Source organism: Homo sapiens, chromosome 4 (genome assembly GCF_000001405.40).
Source record: "Homo sapiens chromosome 4, GRCh38.p14 Primary Assembly".
NCBI classification, from domain to species: Eukaryota; Metazoa; Chordata; class Mammalia; order Primates; family Hominidae; genus Homo; species Homo sapiens.
The window spans coordinates 103944815-103965015 of NC_000004.12; the positions used below are offsets into that span (position 1 = coordinate 103944815).

At 35.6% G+C, this 20201-nt stretch overlaps 1 long non-coding RNA gene across 3 annotated transcripts in view, besides 3 other annotated features; it reads left to right on the forward strand.

The window, feature by feature from the left end:
* Window positions 1547-2431: an enhancer, noted in NCBI's record as "OCT4-NANOG-H3K27ac hESC enhancer chr4:104867518-104868402 (GRCh37/hg19 assembly coordinates)". NCBI's record gives its function as "activates a minimal SCP1, AML or CMV promoter by ChIP-STARR-seq in naive H9 embryonic stem cells {active_cell/tissue: H9 hESC(naive)}" and the evidence as "EXISTENCE:reporter gene assay evidence [ECO:0000049][PMID:30033119]".
* Window positions 2432-3314: an enhancer, noted in NCBI's record as "NANOG-H3K27ac hESC enhancer chr4:104868403-104869285 (GRCh37/hg19 assembly coordinates)". NCBI's record gives its function as "activates a minimal SCP1, AML or CMV promoter by ChIP-STARR-seq in naive H9 embryonic stem cells {active_cell/tissue: H9 hESC(naive)}" and the evidence as "EXISTENCE:reporter gene assay evidence [ECO:0000049][PMID:30033119]".
* Window positions 3344-3967: an enhancer, noted in NCBI's record as "OCT4-NANOG-H3K27ac hESC enhancer chr4:104869315-104869938 (GRCh37/hg19 assembly coordinates)". NCBI's record gives its function as "activates a minimal SCP1, AML or CMV promoter by ChIP-STARR-seq in primed H9 embryonic stem cells {active_cell/tissue: H9 hESC(primed)}" and the evidence as "EXISTENCE:reporter gene assay evidence [ECO:0000049][PMID:30033119]".
* The window catches only part of LINC02503 (long intergenic non-protein coding RNA 2503), a 75942-nt gene continuing 72536 nt past the window's right edge, over window positions 16796-20201 (forward strand). For all 3 annotated transcript variants that reach the window (NR_186772.1, NR_186770.1, NR_186771.1), the window contains exon 1: window positions 16796-16864. This is a non-coding gene — a long non-coding RNA (long intergenic non-protein coding RNA 2503). The remainder of the gene's footprint in view (window positions 16865-20201) is intronic.

The window sequence follows — 20201 nt, forward strand, 5'->3', positions numbered from 1 at the left end:
TTTAGAGACTGCCCCCACCCTAGCTCTCCCAGACTCATCCCAACCCTTTTCATTACCCACAGCTGAAGTGCAGGGCTGTGCAGTAGGAATTCTTACACAAGAACCAGGACCGTGCCCTGTAGCCTTTTTATCCAAACAACTTGACCTTACTGTTTTGCCTAGCCTTCAAGTCTGCATGCAGCGGCCGCCACCACCCTAATGCTTTCAGAGGCCCTTAAAATCACAAACTATGCTCAACTCACTCTCTACAGTTCTCATAACTTCCAAAATCTATTTTCTTCCTCACACCTGACACATATACCTTCTGCTTCCCAGCTCCTTCAGCTGTACTCACTCTTTGTTGAGTCTCCCACAATTACCTTTGTTCCTGGCCTGGACTTCAATCTGGCCTCCCACATTATTCCTGATACCACACCTGACCCCCATGACTGTATCTCTCTGATCTACCTGATATTCACCCCATTTCCCCATATTTCCTTCTTTCCTGTTCCTCACCCTGATCACACTGGTTTATTGATGTCAGTTCCACAAGGCCTAATTGCCACACACCAGAAAAGGCAGGCTATGCTATAGTACAAGCCACTAGCCCACCTCTTAGAACCTCTCATTTCCTTTCCATCATGGAAATCTATCTTCAAGGAAATAACTTAGTGTTCCATCTGCTGTTCTACTACTTCTCAGGGATTATTCAGGCCCCCTCCCTTCCCTACACATCAAACTCGGGGATTTGCCCCTGCCCAGGACTGGCAAATTGGCTTTACTCAACATGCCTGAGTCAGGAAACTAAAATACCTCTTGGTCTGGGTAGACACTTTCACTGGATAGGTAGAGGCCTTTCCCACAGGGTCTAAGAAGGCCACCATGGTCATTTCTTCCCTTCTGTCAGACATAATTCCTCGGTTTGGCCTTCCCACCTCTATACAGTCCTGTAGCGGACCAGCCTTTATTAGTCAAATCATCCAAGCAATTTCTCAGGCTCTTAGTATTCAGTGAACTAATGGTCTTTTAAAAACACACCTCACCAAGCTCAGCCACCAACTTACAAAGGACTGGACAATATTTTTACCACTTGCCTTTCTCAGAATTCAGGCCTGTCCTTGGAATGCTACAAGGTACAGCCCATATAAGCTCCTGAATAGATGCTCCTTTTTATTAGGCCCCAGTCTCATTCCAGACACCAGACCAACTTGGACTGTGCCCCAGAAAACTTGTCATCCCTACTATCTTCTGTCTAGTCATACTCCTATTCACTGTTCTCAACTACTCATAAATGCCCTGCTCTTGTTTACACTGCTGGTTTACGCTGTTTCTCCAAGACATCACAGCTGATATCTCCTGGTGCTATTCCCAAACCGCCACTCTTAACTCTTAAAGTAAATAAATAATCTTTGCTGGCAAGGCTATGCTGAACCTCCTTAGGCACTCTCTAATTAGGTGTCCTGGGTCCTCCCAATTCTTAGTCCTTTAATACTTGTTTTTCTCCTTCTCTTATTCCATTTAGTTTTTCAATTCATACAAAACCATATCCAGTCCATCACCAATAATTCTACATGACAAATGTTTCTTCTAACAATCCCACAATATCACCCCTTACCACAGAATCTTCCTTCAGCTTAATCTCTCCCACTCTAGGTTCCCACACCGCCCCTAATCCCGCTCGAAGCAGCCCCGAGAAGCATCGCCCATTATCTCTCCATGCCACCCCCCAAAAAATTTTTCTCACTGCCCCAACACTTCAATACTATTTTATGTTATTTTTCTTATTAATATAAGAAGGCCGTAATGTCAGGCCTCTGAGCCCAAGCTAAGCCATCGCATCCCCCTGCATGTATACATCCAGATGGCCTGAAGTAACTGAAGAATCACAAAAGAAGTGATATTTAAATGGTCTGTTCCTGCCTTAACTGAGGACATTCCACCACAAAAGAAGTGAAAATGGCCAGTCCTTGCCTTAACTGATGACATTACCTTGTGAAATTCCTTCTCCTGGCTCAAAAAGCTCCCCCACTGAGCACCTTGTAACCCCCACTCCTGCCCTCCAGAGAACAACCACCCTTTGACTGTAATTTTCCTTTACCTACCCAAATCCTGTAAAACAGCCCCACCCCTATCTCCCTTGGCTGACTCTTTTCGGACTCAGCCTGCCTGCCCCCAGGTGAAATAAACAGCCTTGTTGCTCACACAAGCCTGTTTGGTGGTCTCTTCACAGGGACGCAAGTAAAACAAACCTGCCTCCCATTCTATTCAAAGTCACCCCTCTGCTCACTGAGATAGAGGCATATATGATTGTCTCCTTTGGAAATGCTCATCAGAAACTCAAAAGAATGTAACCCTTTGTATATCACCTGTCTGTGACCTGGAAGCTCCCTCCCCACTTGCAGTCTTCCTGACTTTGCTTCAAGTTGTCCCACCTTTCCAGACCAAACCAATGTACTTCTTACATACACTGATTGATGTCTCATGTCTCCTTAAAATATATAAAACCAAGCTGTGCCCTGACCACCTTGGACACATGTTGGTAGGACTTCCTGAGGCTGTGTCACAGGTGAGTCCTCAACCTTGGCAAAATAAGCTTTCTAAATTAACGGAGACCTGTCTCAGATTTTCTGCATTCACATTTTGGTAACCACGGGGGGATTCTGAGTGGAGGTGCCCCTGACCTTTAACACGTCTCCTATTGGCATTTTGTACTAGCATGAAATAATTTTATGGCTCAAACCAACAGGACAATTTGCTGATGTCTGAAAGCACCCCCTCCAGAAATCCCTGATCTTCCAAAATTTGGTCGAGATGTAAAGTTTATTTTTCTATACAACTCATCCTGTTTTTGAGTTTTACTTGCTTCCAACAGGAAGGCAAGTTTTCCTGCTTCCATGAGGATAGAAGGCAGGTAACTCCCTTAGGAGTCTGAGCTCACTTCCAACAGGGAAGATCAGTTTTTGGTTTTTTTGTTTTGTTTTGTTTGTTTGTTTTCCTGCTTCTAGGATGGTAGAGAGTAGTCTACAGCCTGAGACCCACTAGGTAAAGAAACTGGTTTGGGATTCTTGTTTTGCAAATTCCTTTCAGGTGACTAAAGTTAGCATTTAACAATCAACTGGTGTTAATTTCTGCTTACACTTAGAGTGCGCAGAAATATTTGTGTGATCATTGTTAGTTTAGCAGCATTTTGTCTTAGCTGAAATATGGTAATAAAATTTTTAAAAAATTTTTAAAGGAGCTAAATAGTTAAAAGTCAGCTAAATTAGAAGGCTAACATTCAAGATATGTGTGTATATGTGTGCATGTGTGCTTGTATTTGAAAGGCCTTCATGTTTTTGTTTTTGTTTTTCCTCTCCTAAGACCTTGTCTTTTTTTGAGCAAAAGTTTTTTTTTTTCTATTTCTTCTCAGTTGACTGAATTCCGTTTTCAATTGATTTTTTTTTTTCTAAAATAGTTATTGCAACAGAGACTACTCTTGGGGTTTTAAGGAGTAGTGTAGTTTAATTTGACTCAAAGAAAAATAAAAGTGTCTCCCTCTAGCACCACCAGACCTTTTCTTTCTGTATTTTATGATGTAAATTTTGCTATTTGATTTTCACCTGAGTTTCTTCCTTTAATGTGCAAATTTAAGGCTATTTAGCTGACAATTGCCTAGGGTTGTGAAACAGTTTATCGAGAATCTGAAAGTCAAAGTGGAAAAAAAGTAGGAGAGGGTCTTTATAAATCTATGATATGTACTGTAATTGCTCAATGGGTTTACTTTACCCGCTACCTAAACAGAACCCATTTATCAAGACAGGGGAATTGCAATGGAGAAAATGTAATTTATGCACAGCAGGCTATGCAGGAGACTGGAGTTTTATTTTTACTCAAATTGGTCTCTCCTAGCATTCCAAAATCAGTTTTTAAAGATAATTTGGTAGGTAGGGGCTTGGGAAGTGGGGAGTGCTGATTGGTCAGGAGATGGAATCACAGCGGGGCAAAGTGAGGTTTTCTTGCTGTCTTCTCTTCCTGGGTGCAATGGCAGAACTGGTTGGGCCAGATTACTGGCCTGGGTGGTGTCAGCTGATCCATCAAGTACAGGATATGCAACATATTCCAAGCACTGATCTTAGGCTTTACAGAAGTGATGTTACCACCAGGAGAAATTTTGGGAGGTTTGGACTTTTGTTGCCAGAGGCTGCATGACCCCTAAACTGTAATTTCTAATTTTGTAGCTAATTTGTTGATCCTGCAAAGGCAGACTGGTACCCAGGCAAGAAGGGGGTCTTTTCAGGAAAGGGCTGTAATCAATTTTGTTTCAGAGTCAAAACCATAAACTGAATTCCCTTCCAAAGTTAGTTCAGCCTATACTCAGGAATGAAAAAGGACAGCTTAAAGGTTATGAGGAAGATGGTGCCAGTTAGGTCAAATCATTTTTTCACTGTCTTAGTTATAATTTTGCAATGGTGTTTTCATAACTTTAAATCATGACTATCACAGTTTTGATAAATAATCTAGGTAAACAAAATTAAATAATTAAGTAAATGTAATGGGATAAGTACTTGTATACAAACTGATCATAATTTAGAATATAAAGTTATATTAAATTAAATAATAGATATTCCCTTATTTGGGTATTTGGGTATTTTCTAATAAATGTATTTTTTAGAAAAACATTCTTGCTAAAAATAAGTGTTTTTTTTTTTTTTTTTTTTTTTTTTTTTTTTTTTTTTTTTTTTTGAGACGGAGTCTTGCTCGTGATGTCACCCAGCCTGGAGTGCAGTGGTGCAATCTAAGCTCACTGCAAGCTCCACCTCCCAGGTTCACGCCATTCTCCTGCCTCAGCCTCCTGAGTAGCTGGGGCTACAGGCACCTGCCACCACGCCTGGCTAATTTTTTGTATTTTTTAGTAGAGACGGGGTTTCACCATGTTAGCCAGGATGGTCTCGATCTCCTGACCTCGTGATCCACCCGCCGTGGCCTCCCATAGTGCTGGGATTACAGGCATGAGCCACCGCATCCAGCCATATAAGTGACTTTATTTAAAAAAGAAGGTGAAGAAATTTTGTCTAATTCAAAGCTTATTTAAAGGTTATATATAAAACAAGGTAAAGGGAACCAGGAAATTTAAAAAAAGATGCAAAGAAAGTTATAAAAATAAAGAGGATTATTTTTTGAGGTAAAAAACTTTAAAGAGAAATAACGTTATATGAGAAAGAATCTTGTATGTAAGTTTAGTCCTAAAATAAAATAACTGGTTGTTTAAAAAGGAAGGATATTCAGAACAAATCAGAAAGTCTTACCCTGACATGAACAGTCAATGGAAGTCACAGTAAGAGGATTCATGTATTTAAAAAACCCAAAAATTTTTATATAATCAAGTTGTCATATTATTATTTTTAGTTTGCTTAGGAAAAAGAAACTTGAGATTTTTTAAAAAATTAAGGTTATTACATCCATGTATCTTCCTATATATGCTTCTAAAATCCTTGTTACATTGAGTTACAGGGCTTTTAAATCCTGGGTCTAAAAAGGATACCAAATCCTGCTAAATCTTAAACACTGACAGCAATTAAAGCCTCATCTTCAGGCCCAGTAGAAGATGCCAATCAAAATAAACTGCATTCCTGAGACACACGGCAAGAAATTAAAGCTATTCAGTTCCTCAAAGTCCAGAGACTATCATGGAAGAGGTGGGCATTTTAGATTTTAAGGGCCAAATTTGAAAGATAAAGTAAGTTCAGTTTCTCTATAATTACTAATGTCAAAGGCACACTAATCCAAAACCAGTATATGGACCCCTGTGTCAGATTACCAAGGTTTTCTTGAGACATTAGCCAACTCCTTAATAGAGGTTATAAAGGTTTTAAAAGTCTTATGGAAGTTATATTTTATAATCAAGATTAAATTTTATAAATTGTATACCAAATTTTGAAAAAAATGTAATTGGCTTCATGTTGTTTTTATTAGGGCTACTCATTTAGAAAATTAAGTCTCCTCTCTCAAATAATACAGGTTTTCACTTTTTTTGAAATCCTTGAATTATCACTTTGGTTAAATAAATGACTTTAAAATAACCTGTAATCCTATTTTGTAATATCAAGTGTTTTAAAACTTTTATATTTGACAAACTTTCCTGCCAAGACCAGCTCGGTTGGGGAGACCCTAACCCAGTGGCATTAGAGGAATTAAAGACACACACAGAAATATAGAGGTGTGAAGTGGGAAATCAGGGGTCTCACAGCCTTCAGAGCTGAGAGCCCTGAACAGAGATTTACCCACATATTTATTAACAGCAAACCAGTCATTAGCATTGTTTCTATAGATATTAAATTAACTAAAAGTATCCCTTATGGGAAATGAAGGGATGGGCAGAATTAAAGGAAAAGGTTGGGCTAGTTAACTGCAGCAGGAGTATGTCCTTAAGGCACAGATCACTCATGCTATTGTTTGTGGCTTAAGAATGTCTTTAAGCAGTTTTCCACCCTGGGTGGGCCAGGTGTTCCTTGCCCTCATTCCCATAAACCCACAAACTTCCGGTGTGGCTGTTAGGGCCATTATGAACATGTTACAGTGCTGCAGAGATTTTGTTTATGCCCAGTTTTGGGGCCAGTTTATGGCCAGATTTTGGAGGCCTGCTCCCAACACTTTCCAAAATCATATTATAAATTATGTCTATTTCTAACCTAAGTAATCCTTTAAGACATTGGGTTCCTTAAAGCCCAAAAATGACATACCTTGGCTTATTTGGTATAAAAATTATACAGGAAGCATTGTCAATTATGAAATGATGTTTGGTTTTCTTTGCACTGTATTTGTATAAATATGTTATTGGTATGTGTTCCAAAATTATGGGAAACTCCTGTAATTTTGATATAACTTAGAGTACATTATCAGTAACAATAATCATTTTCATGTTAAAATTATTGTGTGCCACAGAGGTAACAAATATTCTTGTCAGTTGTGTCTTTTAACTATGGCTTCCTTAAAACTTCTTTTATTCATCAATAGACAATTGTCTTATTTTGTCTTGTTTTTAACCCTCTTTAAAAGGTTTACAATCAGATATAAAACTCTAACAAGTGCACTTAAATGCAGATTTTCTGATAACTTTGAAAATTGTGACATTGAAATAAAGGGAAAAATTTCAGAACTGTAATGGAGAGCTGAAATGTTCATGACTATCAAACAGAACAGGAGTTAACTGAATTAATTGAACCAACAGAAAACCTAAGTTATCTTTTTTACCTTTTGCTTAAAATGTTGTTGATATTTTGTTTTGTTTTTCAGAGTTAAGAAAACTTTTCTTTTAAGCTATTTACAGCTCTTAACAATTGAGTAAAGTATGCTCCTTTGAACAAAATTTGGAGCAAAATTTTGAACAAAAATCTCTGCCTCATTTCTCCAGAATTTCAAAACTATTTGTGAGTATTCTTAATTTAGAGCAATACAGTTTTTTGCATAAGTGCAATAAGAATCTGTTTTCTTTTCCAATAAGACACAATTGGAGACTGTTTATTTGACCAAGGCTTTGACTGGAATGTTGTGCTTTCCTTTAAGGAATCAAACTTGACTTTTAAGCAATCAAACTTTACTTACAGAGCCAATAAAACCCTTGGAAAAACTGACCTCCTATTTTGTGTACACAGTCCCTGTACAGGTTTTCTGACCTGTGGTAAGTAAAGAATGCCACTTTCTGACAGGCACAGTAGCCCCAGGTTTATCTTAGAACCTCAAGAGGAGAGGAAATTCACCCAGCTCATAGGTATTTGATGGCACAAATCCATGGCTGGGTTCGGCTTTAAAAAAGTTTTATCCTCCCATGGAGCAAAGTTCCATTAAAGCCAATTTAAAACCCATGTAAAAATAATTACTCTTGCTGAACTGTATACAAATAATTAGGCCAAGTATATTAAAGCAAACTAGTCCTAGCATGATTTGAATTTAGTAAAAAGGGGAAAATGGGGAGAGAAAAAAATTATGTTTCAAAACTACTGTAAACCTGTTGTTAGATTATAGTCTTGCCTAATGTTTTTTCAATTTTTATTATTTTCTACAGTTTGGAACAAATTCTAAGTTTTCTTGGCTACAAATCTTCAAAATCATGTTTTCAATTACCTTTTCTTCTTTTTTTCCCATTTTTTCTAATTTGGAGGCACTGAAAACCAAGCTGTGCTTTCTTAAATCCCTGCAAACTGAAGCCAGACAACTTAAACGCCAGGAGAAAATAACAGCAACCTATGTACATACATAAGCCACTTTCATACCTGTGGACTAATGTACGGACTTCAGAGTAATGTGGTCTATATTGATATTTTCAGGATTGTTCTTTCGTTTGTTGTTGTTTTTTCTTTCTTCCTCCCCCACCCCCATTTTATCTTCACAGGACATGAGACTTCACAACCTGGTAAAAATGAGCTTTTGGGACCTACCCATGTAGAAATAAATCATCCTAGTCATGAGAAATCAGATGAAATCTGAGACCAGAGATTCATTTTCCCATAAAATGTTCTTCCAAAAGATTTTTAAAAAGAAAGGGGGAGAAATGTGAAAGAAAAACATCTTGGGCCCCCAAAATCACTAAGGAAAACTCAAGCTAGAAACTGCTTAGGGCAAACCTGCCTCTTATTCTATTCAAAGTCACCCCTCTGCTCACTGAGATAGATGCATATCTCATTGCCTTCTTTGGAAATGCTCATCAGAAACTCAAAGGAATGTAACTCTTTGTGTATTACCTATCTGCGACTTGAAAGCTCCCTCTCTGCCTCCAGTCTTCCTGCCTGTGCTTCAATTTGTCCTACCTTTTGAGACTGAACCAATGTACTTCTTACATATATTGATTGATGCCTCATGTTTCCCTAAAATGTATAAAACCAAGCTGTGCCCTGACCACCTTAGGCACATGTCATCAGGATTTCCTGAGGCTGTATCATGGGTGTGTCCTCAACGTTGGTAAAATAAACTTTCTAAATTAACTGAGACCTGTCTCAGTTTTTCTCCATTCACAACTGTAACTGAAGTGTGTAAATTATTCTTATCCTAATTAGAAAAACAATGAACTAATAAAAATAATAACTACAAGAAATTTTTAAGACATAGTCAATATAATAAGATAGAAATTTTAAAAAAGATAAAAAGCATGGGGATGAAGTTATGGTATAGAATTTTTGTTAGTTTTCTTTTGGATTATTTGTTTATGCAAATAGTGTTAAGCTGTTATCAGGTTAAAATAATAGGTTATTTGACAGTATTTGCAAGCCTTATAGTAACTCCAAGCCCAAAAAACATAAAATGGATACACAAAAATAAGAAGAAAGAAATTAATCATATCACCTGAGAATATAAACATGAAGATTATAGGAAGACAGGAATGAAGGAAATAAGGAAAAGAAGACCACAAAGCAACCAGAAAACAACAAAATGACAGGAGTAAAGTCCTTACCTATTAATAATAACATTGAATGTAAGTGGAGTAAACTCTCCAATCAAAAGACACAGAGTTGCTAAATAGATTTTAAAAAATTAGGCCAGGCTTTGGCAAGACAGGTGGGTCACCTGAGGCCAGGAGTTTGAGACCAGCCTGGCAAATATGGTGAAACACTGTCTCCCTAAAAAATAAATAAATAAATAAATAAATAAAATATAAAAAGAAAGAAAGAAAAAAGAAAAGAAAAAGAAATCATGATCCAATGTTCTGGTGTCTATGAGAAACACACTTCACCTACAAATACACACACAGACTGAAAATAATGGGATGGAAAAAACATATCATGTCAATGGAGACCATAAAAAAAGCAGGAGTAGCTATGCTTAGACAAAGTAGACTTCAAAACAAAAGGTATAAGAAGGGACAAAGATGGTCACCATGTAATGATAAAGGGATCAATTCAGCAAGAGGATATAACAATTTTAAATGTATATTCACCCAACACTGGAGCACCCAGATATATAAAGCAAATATTATTAGAGCTAAAAAGAGAGACAGGTCCCAATACAATAATAGCTGGAGGCTTCAGCACCCCACCTTCAGCATTGTATAGTGCTTCCAGATAGAAAGTCAAAAAAGTGACATCAAACTTAATCTGCACTATAGACCAAATGGATCTAGTCTATATTACAGAAAATTTCATTAAAGAGTTACAGAATACATATTGTTTTCCTCAGCATATGGATTATTCTCAAGGATAGACCATATGTTATGTCACAAAACAAGTCTTCATTCCAAAAAACTGAAATAATATCAGCATCTTTTCTGATCACAATGGAATAATAGAAATTACTAAGAAGAGGAATTTTGGAAACTATACAAATACAGGAAATTAAACAAACAATATGCTCCTGAATGACTAGTTGGTCAATTAAGAATTGAGAAGGAAATTGAAAAATTTCTTGAAACAAATGATAATGGAAACACACTATACCAAAACCTATACAATATAGCAAAAGCAATACTCATAGGGAAGTTTATAGCCATAAGTGCCTACGTCAAAAAAGAGAAAAAAACTTCAAATAAACAATCTAATGGTGCATCTTAATTAGAAAAGCAAGAGCAAACAAACCCCAAATTAGTAGAAAAAAAGAAATAATAAAAATCAGAGAAGAAATAAATGAAATTGAAATGAAAAAAGCAATACAGAAGATCAATGAAACAAAAAGTTGGTTTTTTGAAAAGTTAAACAAAATTTAACAAAAGTTAAACAAAACTTTAGCCAGACTAAGAAAAAGAGATAGAATCCAAATAAATAAAATCAGAAATTGAAAAGGAGACATTACAACTAATATTGCAGAAATTTGAAGGATCATCCATGGAAACTATGAGCATATATGCCAATAAGCTGGAAAAGCTGAAAGAAATGGACAAATTCTTACATATATACAAACTACCAAGATTGAATCAAGAAGAAATCTAAAACTTAAGTAGACCAACAAGTAATGAGATTGACGTCTCCCAGTAAAGAAGAGCCCAGGACCCAATAGCTTTACTGATGAATTCTACCAAACTTTTAAAGAAATAATACTATCCTATTCAAACTATTCCAAAATATACAGCAGGAGGGAATACTTCCAAACTCATTCTATGAGGCCAGTATTACCCTGATACCAAAACCAGAAAAAGACATATCAAAAAAAAAAAAACCAAAAAAAAAAAACAACACAGGCCAATGTCTCTGATGAGTATTGATGCAAAAATCCTCAACCAAATATTAGCAAACTGAATTCAACAATATATTAAAAGATCATTCATCATGATCAAGTGGGATTTATCTCTGGGATTCAAGAATGATTCTACATATGCAAATCAATCATGTGATACATCATATCAACAGAATGAGGAATAAAACCATATGATCATTTCAATTGATGCTGAAAAAGCATTTGATAAAATTTGACATCCCTTCATGATAAACCCTCAAAACTGGGTATAAAAGGAACACACAAAAATCAGTAATGTTTCTATATGCCAACAGTGAATAATGCAAAAAAGAAAAAAGTAATCTTTTTTACAATAGCAACACATACAACAAAATACATATAATTAACCACATAAGTGAAAAATCTCTATAATGAAAAGCATAAAACACTGATGAAAGAAATTGAAGAGAACACCAATGAATGGAAAATAAATGTTTTGTGTTCATGGCTTGGGATAATCAATATTGTTAAAATGTCAATACTACTCAAGCAATCTACAGATTAAAGGCAATCCCTATCAAAGTAGCAATGATATTCTTCAAATAAATAGGAAAAAAATCATAAAATGCACATTGAACCACAAAAGACCCAGAATAGCCAAAGCTATCCTAAGCAAAAAGAACAAAACTGGAGGAATTATATTACCTGACTTCAAATTATACTACAGAGTTATAGTAAACAAAACAACATGGTATTGTCATAAAAACAGACACAGAGACCAACAGAGCAGAATATGGAACCCAGAAACAAATCTACACAACTACACTGAACTCATTTTTGACAAAGATGCCAAGACTGGAAAAAAGACAGTCTCTTCATTAACTGGTGCTGAGAAAACTGGATATCCATATGAAAAAGAATGAATCTAGACCCCTATGTCTCACTATATATAAAAACTAAATATCCTGGCTAACACGGTCAAACCCCATCTCTACTAAAAAAAATACAAAAAATGAGCCAGGTGTGGTGGCGGGCACTTTTAGTCCCAGCTACTTGGAAGGCCGAGGCAACAGAATGGTGTGAACCTGGGAGACGGAGCTTGCAGTGAGCCGAGATCATGCCCCTGCACTCCAGCCTGGGCGACAGAGTGAGACTCCGTCTCAAAAAAAAAAAAAAAAAAAAAAAAAATTAAATAAAGGATTAAAAACTTAAATCTATGACCTCAAACCATAAAACTCTCTACAAGAAAATCCTGGGGGAAAATCTCCAGGACATTGGTCTGAGCAAAAATTTCTTCAGCCATAGCCCACAAACACAGGCAATCAAAATGGGATCATGGACAAATGGGATCACATCAAGTTAAAAAGCTTATGCACAGCAAAGATGTAATCAACAAAGTGAAGAGACAACCCACAGAAAGAGAGACAATATTTGCAAACTACCCTTCTGTGTTAGTCCATTTTCATACTGCTAGGAAAAAATACCCAAGACTAGGTAATTTACAAAGTTAAAGAGTTTTAATGGACTCACAATTCCATATGGATGGAGAGGCCTCACAATCATGGCAGAAACTGAAGGAGGAGCAAAGGCATGTCTTATATGGTGGTATGCAAGACAGCACGTGCAAGGGAACTGCCCTCTATAAAACCTTAGATCTTATGAGACTTATTCACTATCACAAGAACCCACCCCCATAATTCAATTACCTGCCACTGGGTCCCTCATACGACATGTGGTGATTATGGGAGCTACAATTCAAGATGAGACTTGGGTGGGGACACAGCCAAATCATATCACTCTTTAAGAATGGATTAATAATGAGAATGTATAAGTAGCACAAACTATAGGAAAAAAATCTAATAATCCAATCAAAAGACAGGCAAAAATTTGGATAGATATTTCTCAAAAGAAGACATATAAATGGTAAACAGGCATATGAAAATGTGCTCAACATTATTATCATCAGAGAGATGCAAATCAAAACTACAATGAGATATCATCTCACCCCAGTTAAAATGGCTTTTATTCAAAAGACAGGAAATAATGAATGATGGTGAGAATGTGGAGAAAAAGGGAACCCTTGTACACTGTTGGTGGGAATGTAAATTAGAACAGCTACTATGGAGAAGAGTTTGGAGGTTCCTCAAAAAACTAAAAATTGAGCTACCATATCATTCAGCAATCTCACTGCTAGGTGTATACCCATAAGAAAGGAAATCAGTATATTAAAGAGATATCTGCATTCCTATGTTTGTTGCAGCGCTGTTTACACTAGCTATGTTTTGGAAGCAACCCAAGTGCCCATCAGCAGATTAATGGATAAAGAAAATGTGGTACATATACACCATGAAGTACTATTCAGCCATTAAAAGGAATGAGAGCCAGTCATTTGCAACAACATGGCTGGAACTGGAGGTCATTATGTTAAGTGAAATAAGCCAGGCACAAAAAGACAAACATCAGTGAGATGATTGTCAAACATCTCACTGATTGACAAAACAATAAGTGAGAAGACAAAGTGTTCTCACTTATTTGTGGGAGCTAAAAATCAAAACAATTGAATTCATGGTTGTACGGAGTAGAAGGATGGTTACCAGAGGCTGGGAAGGGTACTGAGGTATTGGGGGTGGGGGACGGAGGTGGGGATGGTTAATGTGTACTAAAAATAGAATAAATAAGACCTACTATTTGATAGCACAATAGGGTGACTATAGTCAATAATAACTTAAAGGTATATTTTAAAATCAAATAATGTAATTGAATAGTTTGTAACTCAAATGATAAATGTTTGACAAGAGGGCTAACCCATTCTTTATCATATGCTTATTTCACATTAAACTATGGATACAGTAAAAAAGATCAGTGGTTGTCAATAGTTACATCAGAGAGAGTGGTGAATAGGCAAGCACGGAGGGTTTTTAGGGCACTGAAACTATTCAGTACCATATTGTAGTGTTGGGTGTTGGAGACATGCCATTATGTATCTTTTAAAACCCATAGAAAATACAAGTGTGAACCCTATGTAAAATATGGGCTTTGGGTGATTATGATATGTCGATATAGGTTCATTGATTTTAACAAATGTACCACTGTGGTGGGGGATGTTGATAATGGAGGAGGCTATGTGTGTGCGTGGGAAGGGGTATACGGGAAATCTCTCTACCTTCCTCTTAATTTTGCTGTGAACCTAAAACTGCTCTAAAAATAAAGCATATTTTTGGAAAGGAAAAAAATTTAAAAATCAAAAAACAGATGCTGGTGAGGCTATGGAGAAACAGGAATGCTTACACACGGTCGGTGGGATGTTAATTAGTTCAGCCACTGTAGAAAGCAGTTTGGAGATTTCTCAAAGAACTTAAAACAGAGCTTCCATTTGAGCCAGTAATCCCATTACTGGGTACGTACATAAAGGAAACTAGATCATTATGCCAAAAAGACACATGCACGTGTATGTTCATTGCCGCACTGTTCATAATAGCAAAGACATGGAATCAACATAGATGCCCATCAATGGTGGATTGGATTAAAAAAATGTGGTACATATACACCATGGAATACTACAAAGCCATGAAAATGAATGAAATCATGCTCTTTGCAGCAACCTAAATGGAGTTAGAGGCCATAATCCTAAGCAAATTAATGCAGGAAGAGAAAAACAAATACTGCATGTTCTTACTTACAAGAGGGAACTATTCATTGCACACACATGGGCATAAACATGGGAACAACAGACACTACAGATACTAGGGGTGAGGAAGGAGGGGGATGTGGGTTGAAAAACTACCTGTTGGGCACTATGTTCACGATCTATGAGCAATATACTCATGTAATATCTAAAATAAAAACTGAAAAAAAAAAACAATCAGGGTGAAGTAGATGGCGAGTTGGTGGAGGTGATATGTTCTCAAATTCTTTCCTAGTATTTTCCAAAAGTAAGAATAAATACACTGAAATGCTTGTGGAAAGATTCAGTCTTATTATATTTTTATAATATATTCTCCAATGGATGTGGCAGATTCAGCCAATTGGACCCTAAAATCATCAAACATTAACATCACATTATTTACTTGTCTTTGGCTAGTTTCTGGCTTATCAAATGATCTAATAATTTGGCTTTCACAGTTTTTCTTAAATAAGAAACTTAAAAACTTAAAATGTGTTAGCAATTTTAAAAATAGCTAACACATTTGATGATTGTATTTCTTTAAAAATTAACAAATTAGCCAGGCACGGTAGCTAATGCCTGTAATCCCAGCACTTTGGGAGGCCAAGGCCTGTGGATCACGAGGTCAGGAGATCTAGACCATCGTGGCTAACACGATGAAACCCCGTCTCTACTAAAAATACAAAAAATTAGTTGTGTCTGGTGGCGGGCGCCTGTAGTCCCAGCTACTCGGGAGACTGAAGCAGGAGAATGGTGTGAACCTGGGAGGCGAAGTTGCAGTGAACTAGAATTGCACCACTGCACTCCAGCCTGGGCGACAGAGTGAGACTCCGTCTCAAAAAAAAAAAAAATAATAATAATAATAATAATAACACATTGAGATTCTGATTAATATATCAATATGTTTTAGGTCTAACTAGACTCATTCAGCATTCCTGAGGCTGATCAAGCCAAAATATCTGTCCTCCAAAATTAAAAGCACAGATAGAGCAAGTAAAAGTTATTTACCTAAAGTCACCCAATGAAACTGGTTGATTGGCAGTTAGCAATCTCTTTCGTGCTGATAGCAGTTTTCATGGGGCACCATTATCACCTCCCCTCCCTTGCAAAATTGTTATAATAACTAAAATCTTCATGTCTACATTTTATGTTTTATTTCTATTCTGTACAATTTAGAACAAAATAAGCTAAGTGCATTCAGAGGTTTAAATATTTGCATGTAACAATATGATAAATCTGAAAACTAAATAAAATATGTCCCCAAAGAAGTTATCATTTAACTTATAAGAAATACAGTTTTCCTCATGCCTCTCCTTTTTTGTGTAATTAACTGGGGAATGTGCTATACAAAATAAGGACAACTTTGTTGCATATAGTTGCATATAACCTTTAAGAGAAAGTTACTGGTAGAAGGCAAGGTACTATCAGCAAATGATATATCAGAGTCAGTAAAATTTTTTCAATATGGATCTTAATGCTTCAAAATACTTTATAAAACTTGGTAAAATAGTGTCTTGTAAGTCATTAAGTCTATAAATGTGTCAATTGTGTGATCAAGGAAAATCTGAATTCCTGAAATTCTCATAATGTGACACAATTGAAGTCTTCAGTTTGAGACATTGATATTCATAAACATGTAGAAAACACCAGATGTTTCAATAATGAGTCTCTTAGTTTACCATATTGGATTGAGCCTAATATATCACTTGTTTTATAAAATTCAGCATGTTATATATAAAGATGATAAAAAATATGATGTAGCACTCACAGAAAATGCATACTTTACTTGCAGACCTTTTAGAGTCAAAATTTTAATCTTTTCAAGTTAAAAGGATTATGTATGCAGTTGATTGTTTTAAATAATAAGCTTTTTTTGAGGGGGCAGTTTTAGGTTTATAGCAAAATTGAGTGGAAAGTACAGAGAATTCCTATATATACCCTGTCCCTACCCACCCACAACCTCTCTCACTGTGACCTCACAGTGGTACATCATTTGTTACAATCTATGAACCTACATTGACACATCATAATCTTCCCAAGTCCGTAGTTTACATTAAGGAAGACTCCTGATGTTGTACACTCTATGGATTCTACAAATGTATAATGGTAGGTATTCACCATTGTAGTATTATACACAATAGAGTCACTGCCTTAAAAAGCCCTTGGATCCTGCTTATTCAACACTTTCTCCCATTTAACTTCTTGTAACCATTCTTCGTTTTTTTCATAGTTTTGCTTCAGAATGTTATGTAGTTGAAATGCTGTATGTAGCTTTCTCAAATTTGCTTCTTTCACTTAGTAATATGTATTTAAGTTTCCTCTCTATGACTTCTTTAATGGCTTGATAGCACCTTTTTTTGTTTTGTTTTGTTTTTAGTGCTAACATTCCATTGTCCGAATGTACCAGTTTATTTTTCCATTTACCTACTGAAGGACATTTTGGTTGCTTCCAGGTTTGGGCAGTTATGCAAAAAGTTGTTTTACATATTGTGTGTGGATTTTTTTTTGTGTGGATATAAGTTTTAAACTCATTTGGGTAAATCTTAAGGAGCATGATTCCTGGATCATATGGTAAGAGCATGTTTAGTTTTGTAAGAAACTGCCAAACTGTCTTAAAAGGTAACTGTACCATTTTGCATTTCCACCAGCAATGAATGAGAGTTCCTGTGCTCTGCATCCTCAACAGCATTTTGTGTTGGCAGTGTTCTAGATTTTGGTAATACTAATAGACGTCTCTTACTATTGTTTAAGTGCTCTCTCATTATTGTTTTAATTTGAAATTTCCTAATGATGTATGATGATGACCATCTTTTCATATGCTTATTTGCCACCTATATTTCTTCTTTAGTGAGATGTGTGTTCAGGACTTTTGCTTATTTTTATTCAGATTGTTTATTTTCCTATTGTAGAGTTTTGAGTTCTTTGTTTACATAACAGTTCTTTATCAGTTGTATTTTTTTTGCAAATATTTTGTTCCAATCCACGGCTTGTTTTCTCATTCGCTTGACAGTGTCTCTCCCAGAACAAAAGGTTTTAATTTTAACAAAACCAAGCTTATTAATTGTTTCTTTCATGATTTGTACCTTTGATATTTTATCTAAGAAGTCATCACCATATCTGAGGTCATCTAAGTTTTGTCCTATTATCTTCTAGGAATTTTATAATTTTGTATACCACATTTAGGTCTAGGATTCATTTTGAGATTTTTGTGAGTGGTGTCATGTCTGTGGCTATATCTATATTTTTGAATGTGAATTTCCAGTTTTTCCAGCACTATTTATTGAATACTATCTTCTCTTCATTGTATTGCCTTTGCTCCTTTGTCAAGATCAGTTTACTATATTTATGTGGGTCAATTTCTAAGTTCTGTATTCTGTTCCATCGATCAATTGGTTATATATATACATATATAACCAGCACCGCAGTGTCTTGATTAATTCAGCTTTATAATAAGTCATGAAGTTGGATAGTGTCAGTCCTTTGTCTTTCCTTCTCCAGTATTTAGTTGTATATTCTGGGTCTTTTGCCTTTTCATATAAACTTTAGAATCAGTTTCTAATACACACAAGAAAACTTTCTGAGACTTTACTGGAATTGTACTGAATCTATATATCAATTTGGAAAGAACTAACATCTTAGCAATACTGAATCTTCCTATTCCTGAACATGAACTATGACTCTATTTATTTATTTTTTCTTTGCTACCTTTCAACCAAATGTTGTAGTTTTCCTTATGTATACCTTGCACACATTTTGTTAGACTTACACCTAAATATTTTATATATGGGGCACAAATATAAATGGAAATGTGTTTTTAGTTTTAAATTCCACTTGATAATTGTTGTTGTTTACACAAAAATATTGACTTTTGCATATTAACCTTGTATGCTGTACCATTGCTAAGATTGCTTATTAGTTCCAGCAGTTTTTTGTTGTTGTTGCTTGGTCAGTTCTTTCAGATTTTCTATATAGATTATCATGTCATCTACAAACAAGACAGTTTTATTTCTTCCTTCCCAATCTGTATCACTTTTTTTGTCTTATTGCATTACCTAGACCATCTAATACAATGTTGAAAAGCAGTGGCAAGAGAACGTTCTTGCCTTGTTTCTGATCTTAGCAGGAAAGTTTTGAGTTTCTCACTATTTAAGTATAATGTTAGCTGTAGGTTTTTTGTTTGTTTGTTTTTGTAGATATTCTTTATCAAGTTGAGGGAATTTCCCTTTATGTCTAGTTTTTAAAGAGCTTTTAACATGAGTAGGTGTTGGATTTCAGTCAAATACTTTTTCTGCATTTATTTATATGATCTTGTGATATTTTCATTAGGTTTGTAGATGTGATAAATTACACTGACTGAATTTCAAATGCTGGACCAACCTTGCATACATGAGATAAATTCCACTTAGCCATGGTGTATAGATTTTTTATACATTACTAGATTTTATATGATATATTTTGTGGCGATTTCTGCACCCATGATTATACAATATATTGGTCTGTAGTTTTCTTGTAATGTCTTTGTCTGGCTTTGGTATCAGGGTGATGCTGGCCTCATGGTATGAATTAGGAAGTATTTCCTCTGCTTCTATTTTGTGAAAGACAACTGCTACGTATATATACATATATATTTTGTGCTTTCTGCTTTGAAAGATTAATTTTTAAAATAATTTCAACTTTTATTTTTGATTCAGATGGTACATATGCAAGTTTGTTACATGAGTATATTGCATGATGTGAGGTTTGGGGTATAATCAATACCGTCACCAAGGTAGTGAGCATAGTACCCAACAGTTACTTTCTAAACTCTTGCATTCCCTTTCTCATCTAGTAGTCCCTAGTATTGATTGTTGCCATTTTTATGCCCGTGAATACCCAATGTTTAGTTTTCACTTACAAGTGAGAACATGTGGTATTTGGTTTTCTACTCCTGTGTTAATTCACTTAGGTTAATAGCCTGCAGCTACATCCGTTTTGCTGCAAAAGACATAATTTCATTCTTTTGGCTGTGTAGTATTCATGGTGTATATATATCAAATTTTCTTTATTCAATTCAGTATTGATGGGCACCTAGGTTAATTCCATGTCTTTGCTATTGTGAATAGTGCTGTGATGAACATACAAGTGCATGTATCTTTTTGGAAGAATTATTTATTTTCTTTTAGATATATAATTATTGATTCAACTCATTTAATGGATATAGGTTAATTCAGTTTGTTTATTTCTTCTTGTGTGAAACTTGGCACACTGGCTTTCAAGGAATTGGTCCATTTTATACATTATCAAATTCATGAGCATATAGTTGTTCATTATATTCCTTTATAATCTTTTAAATGTCAGTGGGATCTGTAGGAATATCCCTCTTTTCTTTTTAATATGAGTAATTTGTGTCTTTTTGTTTTTTCTTGGCTAGACTGGTTAGAGGCTTATTAATTCTATTGATCAT